The 16,636-nt window shown below is 40.4% G+C and overlaps 1 protein-coding gene across 4 annotated transcripts in view, besides 1 other annotated feature; it reads right to left on the reverse strand.

Annotated features, from left to right (window-relative positions):
* FAM168A (family with sequence similarity 168 member A) overlaps positions 1-16,636 on the reverse strand; it is a 197,626-nt gene that overhangs the window by 154,196 nt on the left and 26,794 nt on the right. The gene's annotated exons all lie outside the window — the stretch shown is intronic.
* Positions 11,782-12,076: a silencer, noted in NCBI's record as "tiled region #14801; HepG2 Repressive non-DNase unmatched - State 23:Low". NCBI's record gives its function as "represses a minimal TATA promoter and a strong SV40 promoter by Sharpr-MPRA in HepG2 cells {active_cell/tissue: HepG2}" and the evidence as "EXISTENCE:reporter gene assay evidence [ECO:0000049][PMID:27701403]".

The raw sequence follows: 16,636 nt of genomic DNA on the forward strand, positions 1-16,636 counted from the left end.
TAGAGGCATATTATTTTTACACAAAAAGATTATGTTAATCCTACTGAGAATTGACACAAATGCAAGGGTGAAATACAATGGGAGAGCAATAAAGAGGAAATCCCATCAGACTCCCAGGAGGTCACTTTCATTTCAGAATGTCTGTCATCAGCAAAGCCAAGTTCAATGAGTAAAGAGAGAAATGAAACTTGATGGGTGAAGAAGATGGCAAGCTAAGACCCACTGCTAAAATCCATAAGTTCCTCAAGATCATGGAACCTGTCAATTACCATATAGCGTGACAAAGGCCATGGAAGGAAGGCAGCAGCAGGAATGTGGCAAAGTCAAGAGAAGGTCAAGGTAGCCTTTGTTGAAGATGACTAATTTAAAGGAGAAAGACATTAGCCTAGAGGAAAAGGGCATTCTAGGAAAAAGGGAGAGCCTAGAGAATAGAAACAGCTTAACATGCCTTGGGAAATGACATGTATTTCAGTGTTGCTAGAGTCCAAAGTGCAAGGCAGGCTGTGGTGAAAGATGTAGTTGCAAAAGTCATCAGGGGCCTGTCTCAGAGGACCTGAATATCTGGTCTACCATTAAGCCAAGCAGCTATACATGAGTCAGTCAACAAGGGTACCATTCCAGTAGAAGAGAGAGTTAGGCAGCATTATAATAAAGATAAGTGATGGGTGGTTAGAGCAGAAGAGGAACACCCAATCCAGCCTGGGGGCTCATGAAAGGCCTCTAAGAGAAAATGCCAAAGTAAGGCACAAAGGAAAAATGGGGCTAAGGTCCCAGCACTTTGGGAGGTCGAGGCGGGTGGATCTCTTGAGGTCAGGAGCTCGAGACCAGCCTGGCGAACATGGCGAAACCCCATCTCTACTAAAAATATAAAACAAATTAACTGGGCGTGGTCATGGGCGCCTGTAAAACCAGCTACTTGGATGGTTGAGGCAGAAGAATTGCTTGAACCCGGGAGGCAGCGGTTGCAATGAGCCAAGATCTCACCACTGCACTCCAGCCTGGGTGACAGAGTAAGATTCCATCTCAAAAAAAAAAAAAGAGAAAATGGGGCTAAGGGCTGCAACGTCCAAAGTGAGGACACACAGTTGATACCTGGCCTAATCATAAACTCAGCAAATCAGAGAACTAGTGCCTGGCAAGGCTTCCAAAGAGGGAACCATTCTTATCAACAGAATGTAACCTCCAAGGACCTTGTTAGTCTTGTTCACTGCCAGGCTTCTAATACTAAAAATAGTGGGCATAAAGAAGCTGCTCTATAAATATTTGTGGAAAAAAAGAAAAAGAGAAAGGAAGGCTTGCTGTTATATTAAAAAGCAATGGGGCTGGTAAGCTCCAACCCAGTGTCATGCCAAAGACAAAAGAACAACAAAAAAAGCAATGGGGCTGGGTATAGTGGCTCACACTGTAATCCCAGCATTTTGGGAAGCAGACGCAGGAGGATCATTTGGGCCAGGAGTTCAAGAACAGCCTGGGCAACATAAGTGAAACCCTGGTTCTACCAAAAAAAATTTTTTTAATTAGCCAAGTGTGGTGATACATGCCTGTAGTCCTAGCTGGTTGGGAGGCTGAGGCAAGAGGATGGCTTGTGCCTAAGAATTCGAGGTTGCAATAAGCTATGATCGTGCCACTGCAGTCCCTCCTGGATGACAAAGTGAGAATTGTCACTTTTAAAAAAAAAAAGGCAGTGAGAACCCATTCCCTCCATCCCACCACTAGCAAATTAATAATAATAATAATAATTTAAATAATTAAATAAAATAAAAAGACAAATCCTATATGATTCTACCTATATGAGGTACTCAGAGTCATCAAAATCACAGAGACAGAAGATCGAATGGGGATTGTCAGGGGGGTAGGGAGAATGGGGCAATAGGGAGTTTGTGTTTAATGGGTAGAGAAATTTCAGATCTGTAAGATAAAGAGTTTTAGAGATAGTTGACAGTGATGGTCACACAACATTATGAATGTATTTAATACGCTAAACTATACACTTTCAAAAAATTGAGATGATAAATTTTATGTTATATGTATTTTACTGCAATAAAAAAAAATTGAGGGCCAGGTGCAGTGGCTCACGTTGGTAATCCCAGCACTTTGGAAGGCCAAGGCAGGAGGATCGCACAAGGCTAGGAGTTCAAGGACAGCCTGGCCAACATGGCAAAACCCTGCCTCTACTAAAAAAAAAAAAATACAAAAATTGACCAGGCATGGTGGCACGCACCTATAATCCTAGCTACTTGGGTGGCTGAGGCACAAGAATCACCTGAACCCAGGAGGCAGAGGTTGCAGTGAGCCAAGATCACACCACTGCACTCCAGTCTGGGCAACGGAGCAAGACACTGTCTCAAAAAAAAAAAGAGGAAAAAAAGCAATGGGAAATTCACAACCGCCAAAAGGTGGAAGCAACTCAAGTGTCTGTTGATGGATGAATGGATCAAAAAAATGTGGTATATACATACAATGGAGTATTATTCAGACTTAAAAAGGAAGGAAATTCTGACACGTACCAAAACATGATGAACCTTGAAGATATTATGCTAAGTGAATTAAACCAGTAATAAAGGACAAACACTATTATTCTACTCATATGAGATACACAGAACAATCCAATTCATGGAGACAAAGTTGAATGGTGGTTGCCAGGAGCTGGGGTAGGGGAGAAATGAGAGTTACTGTTTAAGACAATAGTGCCACCACTCCTGGCTAAGTTTTTTTTTTTTAATTTTTAGCAGGGATGGGGTCTTACTATGTTGCCTAGGCTGGTCTTGAACTCCTGAGCTCAAGCGATCCTCCTGCCTTGGCCTCCCAAAGTGCTGGGATTATAGGCATGAGCCACCATCTCTGGCCAAAATTAAGTTATTAATTTAAAAATCCTGTATTCATGAATTGGAAATTTTAATATTGTTAAGATGTCACCTCCAAAGCAATCTACAGATCTTATCAAAAGTCCAAAAACCTCTTTTTGTAGAACTGGAAGAGCCAGTCCTCATATTCACATGGAATTGCAAGAGGCCACAAACAGCAAAAATAATCTTGAAAAAGAACAACAAAGTTGGAAGACTCACACTTTCCAATTTCAAAATTCACTATAAAACTATGGTAATCGATACAGCATGGTACTCGCATAAGGACAGGTATATAGACCAATGGAACAGAATCACAAGTCTAGAAATAAATCCATACATCTCTGGCCAATTAATTTTCAACCAACATGCCAAGACTAATCACTAATCAATGAGAAAAGAAAAGTTTCTTCAACAAATGGTGCTTGGACAACTGAATATCTACAGGCAGAAGAATGAAGCTGGACCCCTACCTCAAACCACATATAAAACTTAATTCAAAATTAAAGACCTAAATATAAGGGATACAACCATGATAAATCTTCATGACCTTGGATTTGGCAATGGATTCTGAACTATGACAACAAAGTAAGCAATCAAAGAAAAAATAAACTGGACTTCATCAAAATTTAAAATTTTTGTGCATCAAACGATATTATCAAAAAAGTGAAGAGGCCAAATGTGACAGCTTACACCTGCAATCCCAGCACTTTAGAAGGGCCAAGGTAGGAATTCAACATCAGCTTGGGCAAATAGCAAGACACTGCCTCTACAAAAAATGTAAAAAAGAAAAATTACCCAAGCATGGTGGTGCACATCTGTAGTCCTAGCTACTTAGGAGTCTGAGACTGGAGGATCACTTGAGCCCAGGAATTCAAGGCTGCGGTGAACTATGATCATGCCACTGTACTCCAACCTGGGCAACAGAGCAAGACCCTGTCTCTAAAAAAAAAAAAAAAAAAAAAAAGTGGAAAGACAACCCACTGAATAAGAAAAAATATTTGGAAATCATATATTTGATAAAGGTCTGGAATCCGGACTATATAAGGAACTTTTATAATTCAACAACAAAAAGGCAAAAAAAAAAAAAATTTTAATGGGCAAAGGACATGAATAGGTATTTCTCTAAAGGTATACAAATGGCCAACAAGTAGATGAAAAGATGCTTAACATCATTTATTAATCATTAGAGAAATACAAGTCAAAACCATAAGATATATTATGCCATACTCATTACAATAGCTATTTATTTTTTAAAAAAGAAGAAGGAAATAAGTATAAGCAAGGATGTTAAAAAATATGAACCCTCAAACATTGTTGGTGGGAATGTTAAAATGGTGCAGCCATTATGGAAAAGTCTGGCAGCTCCTCTGCTAGTTAAACATAGAATTACCATATGACCCAGCAATTCCATTCCTAGGTATACACTGAACTAAAACAGGTACTAAAATAAATACATCTACCCACATGTTCATAGCAGCACCTTCACAATAGCGAAAGATAGAAACAACTCAAACGTCCATCAGTGGACAAACTGTAGCATATCTATACAATGTAATATTACTCAGCCATAAAAAGCTTTAAAAAGTAATGAAGTACTAGCCGGGCGTGTTGGCTTATGCCCGTAATCCTATCACTTTGGGACGCCGAGGCAGGTGGATCACCTGAGGTCAGGAGTTCGAGACCGGCCTGGCCAACATGATGAAACCCTGTCTCTACTAAAAATACAAAATTAGCTGGTCATGGTGGCAGTCACCTGTAATCCCAGTTACTCGGGAGGCTGAGGCAGGAGAATCGCTTGAATCCAGGAGGCGGAGGATGCAGTGAGCCGAGATCGCGCCACTGCATCGAGCCTGGGCAACACTGGCAGTGACCCAAGATCATACCACTGCACTCCAGCCTGAGCGACAAGAGTGAAACTGTCTCAAAAAAAAAAAGTAATGAAGTACTGATACATGCTACAGCATGAACATCAAAAACATTATTCTGAGTGAAAGAAGCCAGATGCAAAAGGCCACACATTATATGATTTCTTTTATATAAAATATTTACAATTGGTAAATCCATAGAGATGAAAAGCAGATTAGTTGCCGCCAGGGGCTAGGAGGGAATAGGAATGGGAATGACTGTTTAGTGGATACAGAACTTCTTTTTAGGGTGATCAATGTTTTGGAACTAGACAGAGATGGTTGTTGCACAACACTGGGAGTGTATTAAATGCCACTAAATTGTTCACTTTAAAGTGGTTAATTTCAACAATGATATATAAATTTCACCTCAATCCCTCAGTCAATAATGAGAATCCTCCCTTCACACAAACTTCCCAAAAATTGTTTTGTTATCTTTCTTCTTCCCATTGCCAAGTTGTAATCAAGCATTGCTTGATTCTTGGCAGGAAAAAAAACAGCACTGAGGAGTTGCCACAAATGAGAACAATGTAAACAAAATCCTCAGTACCACTACTGCAGCATTAAATAAATCCAAGCAGTTATATCCACAGAATTAGTCTCACTTAAGAAAAGGCCAATGAAGGTTTTTTTCTTGTTGTTGTTTTCTGAGACAGAGTCTCACTCTGTCTCCCAGGCTGGAGTGCAGTGGCATGAACATGGCTCACTGCAGCCTCGACCCCTCGGACTCAAGCGATCCTCCCAGCTCAGCCTCCTGAGGAGCTGAGACTATAGACATGTGCCACCATGACCATGCCTGGCTTTTTTTTTTTAAAGAGATGGGGTCTCACTATGTTGCCCAAGTGGTCTTGAAATTATGGCTTCAAGCATTCCTCCCACCTCAGCCTCCCAAAGTGCTGGAATTATAGGCATGAGCAACCATGCCCAGTCTCCAATGAAGGTACTTTTGCTAAGGTGTGTGAAGATACCTGTTGCTGGGATCAGGAGACATGAAAAAACTAAGAAAAAAAATACTGAGAAAAGTTTTCAATAGCTTTGTAAGCCTTCAGAATGTAAAGTACATTAAGAAATAAAAACTTAAATGCAGTGGGTACAAACATGGCAAATCTGAAAGCTAAACCTGACTAAGGCTATCAACCTGCCATGTGCTAAAAACAAATGTACTCACTCAGAAAAACTGAAAGAGGTACTACATACCTATTAAAACAGCTAAATTTAAACAGTGATAATACTAAATGCCGACAAGTATGCAAAGAAACTGGACTTCTCATACATTTCTGGTAGGAATGTAAAATGGTACAGACACTCTGGAAAATAATTTGGCAGTTTCTTATAAAACTAAACATGCAGCCAGGCATCGCTGCTCACACTTGTAATCCCAGCACTTTGGGAGGCCAAGGCGGGCACATAGCCTGAGACCAGGAGTTCAAGACCAGCCTGGCCAACCTGGTGAAAATGTCTCGACTAAAAATACAAAAATTAGCCAGGCATGGTGGCACACACCTGTAGTTGCAGCTACTCAGGAGGCCGAGGCTGGGAGAACTGCTTGAACCTGGGAGGCAGAGGTTGCAGTGAGCCAAGATTGCGCCACTGCACTCCAGCCTGGGTGACAGAGCAAGACTCTGTCCCAAAAAAAAAAAACAAAAAACAAAAAGACCGGGCGCGGTGGCGGTGGCTCATGCCTGTAATCCCAGCACTTTGGGAGGCTGAGGCAGGCGGATCACCTGAGGTCGGGAGTTCGAGATCAGCCTGACCAACGTGGAGAAATCCGTTTCTACTAAAAATACAAAAAATTTGCCAGGCGTGGTGGCATGTGCCTGTAATCCCAGCTACTCAGGAGGCTGAGGCAGGAGAATCGCTTCAACCTGGGAGGTGGAGGTTGCAGTGAGCCGAGATCACGCACCATTGCACTCCAGCCTGGGCAACAAAAGTGAAACTCCATCTCAAAATAAAAAAAGTTATCCTTCTCTCCTAGGCTTCCAAGAAATTCAGGGGTAAATTTGTAGTTCACCTATAGCAACTGGGGAGACATATATATATATATATTATTCTATTTTCAATAGTACTCAGGGTTTTTCTTTTTTAGGTTATTTTATTAGATTACTTTTGTAAACTACTCTCAATCCCTTGTGGAATAAATACAAAGACCACACAAACGTGGTAAATGCTACTCTGTCCCTAATAAGTACATTAAAATTATTCCATAGAGAACTAGAAATGGCATAGCCATTCACTCTTTTTTTAAGCATCTGATCATATAAGTAGAGTCATTCACTTTTTTGTTTTTTAATTCACAAACCAAGATCTTTATGAGGCCTCCCTTCTTTTACTGAAATAACTTTTACTTTTATATCTGTATCAACTAAGGGGTAAAAGTGACACTTTAGTCACTTTGGACAATAAAAATAAATTTTTAGATAATTTTAATACCCTTTTATCCCATACGATTCTTGATCTTGAATTTCAATTCTGCAATCTTAGGACTGTGGTTTAAAACATTACAGGAGGATTTTCTTTTTTTTTTTCCAAAGACTGAGTCTCACTCTGTAGCCCAGGCTGGAGTGCAATGGTGCAATCTCAGCTCACTGCAACCTCCACCTCCCAGGTTCAAGCAATTCTCCTGCCTCAGCCTCCTGAGTAGCTGGGATTACAGGCGCACGCCACCACGTCCAGCTAATGTTTGTATTTATAGTAGAGATAGGGTTTCACCATGTTGGTCAGGCTGGTCTCAAACTCCTGACTTCGTGATCCGCCTGCCCTGGCCTCCCAAAGTGCTGGAATTACAGGCGTGAGCCACCGCACCCAGCCTACAGGGGAATATTTACAGCTGTATGACCTCTCTTCATCTCTCTGACCCTCATCATAAATGAGGATAGTAACACTTACGCTGAAAGGTTCTTTTGGGGATTATATAATATATGCAAATTATCTAGCAGGTCCTTATAAACAGTATCATTTGACTCAGACCTTGGTCTACAACCTAGATCTCTTGCTTCAAGGAGAAAGTGTTTTCCATCACAGAATGAAGCGTATAATGCTAGTTAGACTTTTTCATTTGATTTCTTGCTTAATCTAGAGTCTGAGTTTAACATTCAATAAAGAATAGAAGGTTGGCCTGGCACGATCGCTCATGCTGGTAATCTCAGAACTTTGGGAGGCTGAGGCAGGCAGATCACCTGAGGTGAGGAGATCAAGATCAACCTGGCCAACACGGTGAAACCCTGTCTCTACTAAAAATACAAAAATTAGCCGGACATGATGGTGGGCGCCTGTAATCCCAGCTACTTGGATGCTGAGACAGGAGGATTGCTTGAACCCAGGAGGTGGAGTTTGCAGTGAGCCAAGATCGCACCACTGCATTTCAGCCTAGGCAACAGAGTAAGACTCTGTCTCAAAAAAAAGAATAAAAGGTTACCTACTAACAGGGTGGTTCTGCCTGAACCTGAGCAAAACGTACCCTGAGTACCAGCTGAGCATATTTAGTAAGGCATCAATTCACACGGGCCCCAGAGAGGGGACATTCACTGTAATATTCAATGGGACATCACCATAATATATAGTATCCTCGTGACCAGTATTTCTAATGCTACTACTCTCTGTATCTTTTATTATTATTTAATAGTGATGCAATGGATTAGTGAAGTCAATTAAACTACTCCAAGAAAAGACTCGAAAAATAGCTTTTCAAGCAATTCCAAACCAGGCCAGGATTTCATCCCCATCAGGTATTTACTTGATGTTCACCTCTATCATTCACCTAAGGCAGACATCTCAAACATTCCTGGTATATGCTTTGGAAGGCTCCATCACATTTATTTTCCATCATAACTCAACCAACAATTTCAGCTCTCCCGTTTGTTAGCTAAGCAACTATCCTCTGAGGACAATACTGCTTATCTAATAATAGCTATCTAATACTGCTATTAGCTGAGGTTTAGAGATAATTTATGTAGAATGCCTACACACTATCTGGCCCAATAAACGTATGCAATAAACTGTAGCTGCTATTGTCATCACTAATAAATATTCACGAGTGCCCACTATTTTCCCAACACTGTGCTGAGCAGTAGGAGGAAAACAGTAAGTATGTAAGATGCCATCCATTCTAAGGGGGTACACAATCAAGTTGAAAGAAAAAAAAAATTATACAATGGTTATATGTAATTGTATAATTAAATGGTCAATTGTTTGGTATAGACTAAGTTCAGAAGGGGAGACCCAAAAGCTTTTCCTTCTATTAACTCACAACAACCCTTTGAGCCAGGCAGGCAGAAATTATCATTCCCATTTTACAGAAAAAGAAACTGAGACTAAGAAAGACTAAGTCATAGAGTTCAATCATTTACCCAATTAACAAATACTAGGCTATGAACTATGCTTAAGTGCAGAAGAGAAATAGATTAGTTAGGACTCTTGGTTGTAAATGACAGAAAACAAACTGGTTTAAGCAAAAAGCCTAATTACTGACTTAATTAACTGAGGCCCAAGATTAGGGTAGACTATGGTGGAGGCTCAATTCAGAGCTCAAAGTCACTGCCTCCACCTGTTTAGCTTCACTTCCTCAATGTTGGTTCTATCATAAGCCAGACTCTCTCCTCCTAAGGTGGCAAAATGGCTATAGCAGCTCCAGCCACACACCTCTGTAGTGTAGCAGGACTTGGAGAAGGTCTTCTATAGCGGCTTACAAAAGTCCTGAACATTCAGTTTAGACCAGCTTAAAACACATTTACCCCTAAACCAATCACTATGGCCGGAAGAATGTGATGCCTTGGTTACCTTGAGCCTGGTTCACATAACACTAGAGCTAAGAAATTCCTACCCAAACTATATGAAGCAAAGCAGGGGGGAGGTGTGGTTCCTAAAACCAACATCTGAGGCCATTGCTGAGATAAGAAGGAAGCTACAGAAGCAAACTACAAATGTCCACCTCAAGGAACCCTGTGACTGTGCTCTCACAGAATATACAGTTTGGGGCAGTGATTCTCAAGTGCAGATGGGCTGGTAGTAAAAAGAAGGCTAGAGGTGGCCAGGCGCAGTGGCTCACGCCTATAATCCCAGCACTTTGGGAGGCCAAGGTGGGCAGATCACAAGGTCAAGAGATCAAGACCATCCTGGCTAACACAGTGAAACCCCGTCTCTACTAAAAATACAAAAAAAAAAATTAGCTGGGCATGGTGTCGGGCGCCCGTAGTCCCAGCTACTCAGGAGGCTGAGGCAGGAGAATGGAATGAACCCAGGAGGCAGAGCTTGCAGTGAGCTGAGATCGCGCAACTGCACTCCAGCCTGGGCGACACAGTGAGACTCCGTCACAAAAAAAAAAAAAAAAAAAAGAAGGCTAGAGGTATAGCTCTAGTCTAAAAGAAACATAATTGCAGAACAATGTGGTAAGTGCCATACAGCCAATACTTAAAACAACGTGTCAGAGTGTCCAGGAAAAAAAAAAAGGAAGGCCACCCTAAGACTTTAGGGAAGTCTTCAAAGAGGTGGTACTGACCAAACTTAGTCCTGAAGAAAAAGGGTCAGTTAGCAAATCACCTAACTACAACTATAGCATCAAAGTTTCCTGATTCCCTATCAAGAGCTCTTTCCACTACTAGGGTGGAGAGGAAAATGGGCACTGAGGCCTCAAGGGAAGTGACTGCCACAGAAGCTCATTTAAACCAGCTGTCAAAATTGCTCAGCACTTAAGTACACTGTAAAGGACTTGTCCACACTGCAGCAGGACCACAAAGACCCTGACAACCTTACAGGAGGATGTTTCAGTTAGATAACAGTCATGATCTAAGCATGGAATGGGATATTCTGTCATTTCCCAGCATTTTGGCTTCCTCACCTACTACCAGGCTGCTCTTTCCACTATATGCGTAACGGCTGACAGTTCAAACAGAAAAGTACCAAACACAGTAAGCTAAATTGAGACCACATTATAAGTTAAAGGAAAAACCCACTATACTGATATTTCCACACATGCAGTTTATGCTCATTGAGACAGGAGGTAAATAAAGGGTTTGCATCGGTAGGTAGGGTTTGCATCTATCTCTACCACTTACTAATTGTGTGACCCTGAGCAAGTCACTTTTCTGACCCTCAATTTCCTCATCTGTAAAATGGGAAACATTATAATACCTTTCTTGGAGCTACTATAGGAATTAAAACAAGATAAAAGGAAAGCACTTGGTCAAATTGTAAAGCATCAGTAAATATTAGTTATGTTCCCTAACTCTTTAAGGAGAGACATTTCAAAGTACTATATGACTTCTAACTTCATAAAGAGCAGAATCCTCAACACTCCATTCCATTTGGACTTGAAACAATAAAAAATCTTTCCAGGGAAGGCTTTTAAAAACAATACCATATTAAACATTGGTGATTTGTTTTAAAAGCTGCAATTAAGAGGATTCCACTGTTTCACCAGGCTCTTGCGGCATCCAATTAAGTAATAACATGAGAGAGGAGCTCTTAATTATGGAGGAAAACTTCCACAAGCCAGTGGCAGGTGTGCAGGGCTCAAGCTGAGATCAAAATAGTTGACTACAGCATTAATTCCCCCCTTTCCTTTTTCCCAAAGACACTTAAGTTTGCATGCAATTAGTTGAAAAGTAAACCAGACCAAATGACTGCCATATTTCAAGCTTTATTACCTTTTATCATGTTAACATCTACCAATTGAGTTTTAAGGGATTAACACCAGAACAGATGGTTTAAATGCACAATAAGTGAGCTTCAGTGATCAGAAATGGTAATAGCCAAGCTGAATTTACACTTACACTGGGATGTTAGCATTTTTCCCTAAATTGTGTCTATTGTAAATTAAAGTTATTCCTTTTCTATTTTCACATATATACTTTGTAAATAATATTAAAAATAAAACCCTCTTCAAGGGGATGCATTTTTTTCTAATTTGCCTGCCTTCCCTCCAAATGTAAAGCAAACTTCTTTTATCCCTTGATGTAATCAATAAAAATTAAAGCCAAACATCCAGCATTTACTTATTTTGCAAGTTACAGACAATGGTTTTAGCAGCACCTACCAAAAAAGCACACCCCCAAAATCCACATGGAAAGACAATTAAGCATCCATTTGTTGAAATAGCCCTTTTTAGGGCTACACTTGATTGCCAATGAAAAGAGCTCCTGGAAAGTCAGACCTCCAAATTTGGTGTTGGGAAGCAACTCAGGAAATATGTACACACTTACACAGGATGAGCCATCATGATAAGAAAAACACAAGATTTGGATTCAAGTCCCAGTCTGTCATACACTCTACTCATTCAAGCAATTACAGAGTAGCTGTTTTCTATCAGGTACAATATTGAATGCTAATGATAAAAAGCAAGACATATTACAAATTATTACTATAAAATGTTACAGGTCCTATAACAGGCATCAACACAGGAGAAGCATGAGGAGAAAACAGTCAATTCTACCTGGAAAAGAGAGCAACAACTTTACAGTGGAAGCAATGTAGGTGGTAGATTTTTAAAAATAAAATAAGGCCATGTTTGCCAAGTTGAGAAGGGAAGAGGACCATTTGAGTAGAAGAAGCAACACGAGTAGAGATTTGGCAGTTTAACAGCGTATAGTTAAGTCCCAAGGATTGCAAGTGGTTTGGCAGGGTTGGGCTGAGAAGAAGGAGTCACAGGAGGTGACCCTGGCAGCAGATGGAAGAATGGAGGCTGCCGTCCACACAAGAGCTGCTGAGAGTCTGAGCTAAGGCAACAGCTGTGGGGATGGAGAGAAAGGAATAGATTCGAGAAATGTTAAGGTGATAGTATCTATACAACTTAGTGACTGAAGGAATATGAGAAGATAAGGAAATCTCAAATTTCCGGCTTGAGTGACTGAGAAAATGGTGATGTCATTCACTGAGATAAGAAATACAAAGAGAAGAAGGTATGGAGGGAAAAGGATAACGAGTTCGGTTTTGAGCCAGACTTGTGACTTTAAACCAGTCACTTGATACCTCATAATCAGTTCCCCAGTTAGCAAAATGGTTATACCACTTACCTCAAAGAAATTCTCAATGTGGTGAGAATTAAGATAATAAATGAGGAAAAGGTTTTATTATTTTTACCCTCTACCTATGACTCTGTGGAAGAAACTGCTAATAGTATCCATTTTCCCTTGCTTCCTTTTAATACAGACACTCCCCTACCACAACCCTCTGCCAAAATAACTGAGCACATGCAACCGAGTTGGAAACTACATTTCCAAATGTTATTTATAACTTGATATGTCTTGTTTCTAAAGATAATGAATGAGATGCTGGGAAAATTGACATATAGCTCACTTTTTTTTTAAGGCAACTATGTGTCCTCTACTCTCTCTTCTCCCTTCTCATGGACTTATTTCAAGGTAGATGTGTTAATAAGCTATCATTGAGAATGCAGATGAGGGCATCACCCCCGGACAACAAGATAGAAGGAGCCTGGATCTCTAGATGATTTCATGGAGCAGAACCTCTGCCCACTGTGGTCATAAGAGACTTACCCCTGAACTGTTTTATAAGAGATAAATGTCCATCTTGTTTGAGCCACTGAATGTTTGGGTCTCTTTCAGCAGCTACCCTGTACTCTAACTACTCACCTTTCAAGCTTGTAAAATCTGTAAGGAAACTGAGCAAGACAAATTTTAGGGCCCTAGAAATCTACTAGACGTTGGCGGTACCTTTTAGATTGGAGAGAGGAACATCCATGAGTATATATGCACATGCACAACTAACAGACATAAAATGAGAATAAGAGTTGGATTGATGTGTGCCAAGCAACAAAGCAGGCCCAGGACTGTAGCCAACTAATCAAGGCTGAAAATTCCAATTTCTTATCTCATATGGCTTCCACATTAAAACAATTAATTCTTAAAAGATCCTGTAATATGTAAATTACTACCTGATACTCAAATCTACAATCTGGAACAACGGAATCAATTATGACACTCTTAGGTGAGGGGTTAATTTACCTGAATATAACAATCTCAGACTAAAATAAGAAAAGAAGCTTAGGAATTCTTAAATATTTTGCACTATAATAATACACAAAAATAATGCAGGGCAGGGCACATGGAAAACCAAGTAGCTATGCTATGACATGACTGTATTTGAATGTGATATAACCTAGAAGCTAAATGAAGTATAATGGCTTCTTCTCAAGGGTCAGGAAGAAGGCTATTAAGAACTAGACCCTTGGTCGGGGGTAATGGCTCACACTTGTAATCCCAGCACCTTGGGAGGCCAAGGCGGGCAGATCACAAGGTCAGGAGTTTGAGCCCAGCCTGGCCAACTGAGTGAAACCCCGTATCTACTAAAAATACAAAAATTAGCTGGGTATGGTGGTGGGCACCTGTAATTCCAGCTACTCAGGAGGCTGAGGCATGAGAATTGCTTGAACCCAGGAGGCGGAGGTTGCAGTGCACCAAAATCCAGCCACTGCACAAGCGAAACCCTGTCTCAAAAAAACAAAAAAACAAAAACAAAAACAAAACTGAAAAACTAATTTGCCACTGTCATATCTTATTTATATAAAATACAAAAGAAATCTGACAAGGCAATCAAAAAGAATTCAATACAATTAAGTTCACCTAGACATCAAAAAAATTGTTTCTTCGGTGTTACAAAATGCTTAAGTGTAATCCCTCTCTTATATGAAGGCTCTGTTATAGACAGTTACCATATACTGGCTCAACTATATTTAATGCCACTATATTAGCACTGTTGTAATTCTCAAACATAATCAATTAGTGACTAAGAACGAAGCAATCAGGAGAAAGCATAGGATATAAAAATAAACTAGCAATTTTAGTATCGCCACTCTTTAATACTAGACACAGCATCAACTTTTTCAGTCATGCATTCCCTCAGCAATCATTATGGAAAACACACTGTTGCCAGCTACTAAAACAGAGATACACAGGAACACACACACACAGCGGTCTTATCCACCTTCAAGTAGCTCTCAACAGTCTGTCTACCATGGAATTTTGCTCGTTGGATTTGAGAAAGAAAGACGCACAGAAAGATTTTTAGGGTTACCTCTTACCTTCAGTTAGTATAAATGAAAGTATCTATTTTACATACGAAAAAGACTATTGTGTATTCCTAAGAAAACAGATGTTGGCTGGGCATGGTGGCTCATGCCTGTAATCCCAGCACTTTGGGAAGCCGAGGCGGGCAGATCACGAGGTCAGGAGTTCGAGACCAGCCTGGCCAATATGGTGAAACCCTGTCTCTACTAAAAATACAAAAATTAGCCGGGCGTGGTGATGCGCACCTGTGGTCTCAGCTACTCAGGAGGCTGAGGCAGAAGAATCACTTGAACCCGGGGGGATCGGAGGTTGCAGTGAGCTGGGATCATACCACTGCACTCCAGCCTGGGCAATAGAGTGAGACTCCACCTCAAAAATAAATAAATAAATAAATAAATAAATAAATAAACAAAATAGATGTGAAGCTCTAATCAACAGCTAAAAGTATTACAGCAGGGGAAAAAAATATGAGATTTGGAGTCAGGAGACCTGGGATGGTGGGGTCCAGATTCTGTTACTCAACAAATGAATGATCTTGTGTAATTAACTCATCTTACTTTTCCTAACCTATAGAATGGATATGAAAAGCATAATTAACTGCTTCACAGAGTTTTAAGACTCAAATAAGAGAGATAATATCTTTCATGTATACCTACATATTCATACAAGCTGTTTCTGAGAAAATATAAGGGTTAAGTACATAGCTCTGAAATCAGATTGCTTGGGTTCTAATCACAGCTGCATCCCTTCATTAGCTGTGAGACTAAGCAAGCTACTTCCTTTCTCTGAGACTCAGTTCTCTCCTCTATAAAACGGGGATAATGAGGATTAAAACAAATACTGCACTTGGCACAAACCCGGCATAAAACACAGTGTTAGCTAGTATCATTATGATTATTCTTAGCTCAGTCCTAAATAAAGTGAGTACAAAGATGAAAAAAAATGGTCCTCCACAAAAAGAGCTACCAGTTTAGTACAAGAAACATATTAGTAAAAAGAAAAATTTTAGACTGGACACAGTGACTCACACCTGTAATCCCAACACTTAAGGAGGCCAAGGCTGATGGATCACTTGAGCTCAGGAGTGTGAGACAAGCCTGGGCAACATGGTGAAACCCCACCTCTACAAAAAATTAGCTGGGCATGATGGCATGCACCTATTGTCCCAGCTACTCAGGAGGCTCAAGTGTAGAGATCACTGGAGCCTGGGAAGCTGAGGCTGCAATGAATCATGATCACGTCACTGTACTCCAGCCTGGGTGACAGAGTGAGATACTGTCTCAAAAAAAAAAAAAGACAAGACAAGAAAAGAAAAAAAATATTTAAGTATCATAAAAATACCTTACAAAGAATTATGCAAATATCAGTTGACATTATTATATATAAAGTTAATATGATAAAGTAACTCAGGCTGATTCTGACTGGGGCCTATGGAAACCCATCTCCTTACTTAGTCACTGTATTATGTTCATACTAGCAGACCAAGAACAGAGAAGAAAGATGCCTAAGTATGTTCTTATAGGCAAATAAAACACAGACTTTGAAACTGTCCTGAACAACAACTATTCTACTGTAATACTTAATACAGAAGACAATGATCCAGACAACATAATGCAGTTACTTGCAATGAAGAAAAACTGACATCCCCCTGGAAAAAAATGAATAAAATTAGTGTAGTACCAAAACTCACAGCCAGAAGCCTCTCATATGGAAAAATGCTTAACTAATACACTGCAGCATTCAGATACATCAATAATTAAACTCTCCCTCTCCCCCTCCCCCTCCCCCCCCCCTCCCCACAGTCTCCCTCTCCCTCTCTTTCCACGGTCTCCCTCTGATGCCGAGCCGAAGCTGGACTGTACTGCTG

This window comes from Homo sapiens, chromosome 11 (assembly GCF_000001405.40).
Source record: "Homo sapiens chromosome 11, GRCh38.p14 Primary Assembly".
In the NCBI taxonomy this organism is placed as follows: Eukaryota; Metazoa; Chordata; class Mammalia; order Primates; family Hominidae; genus Homo; species Homo sapiens.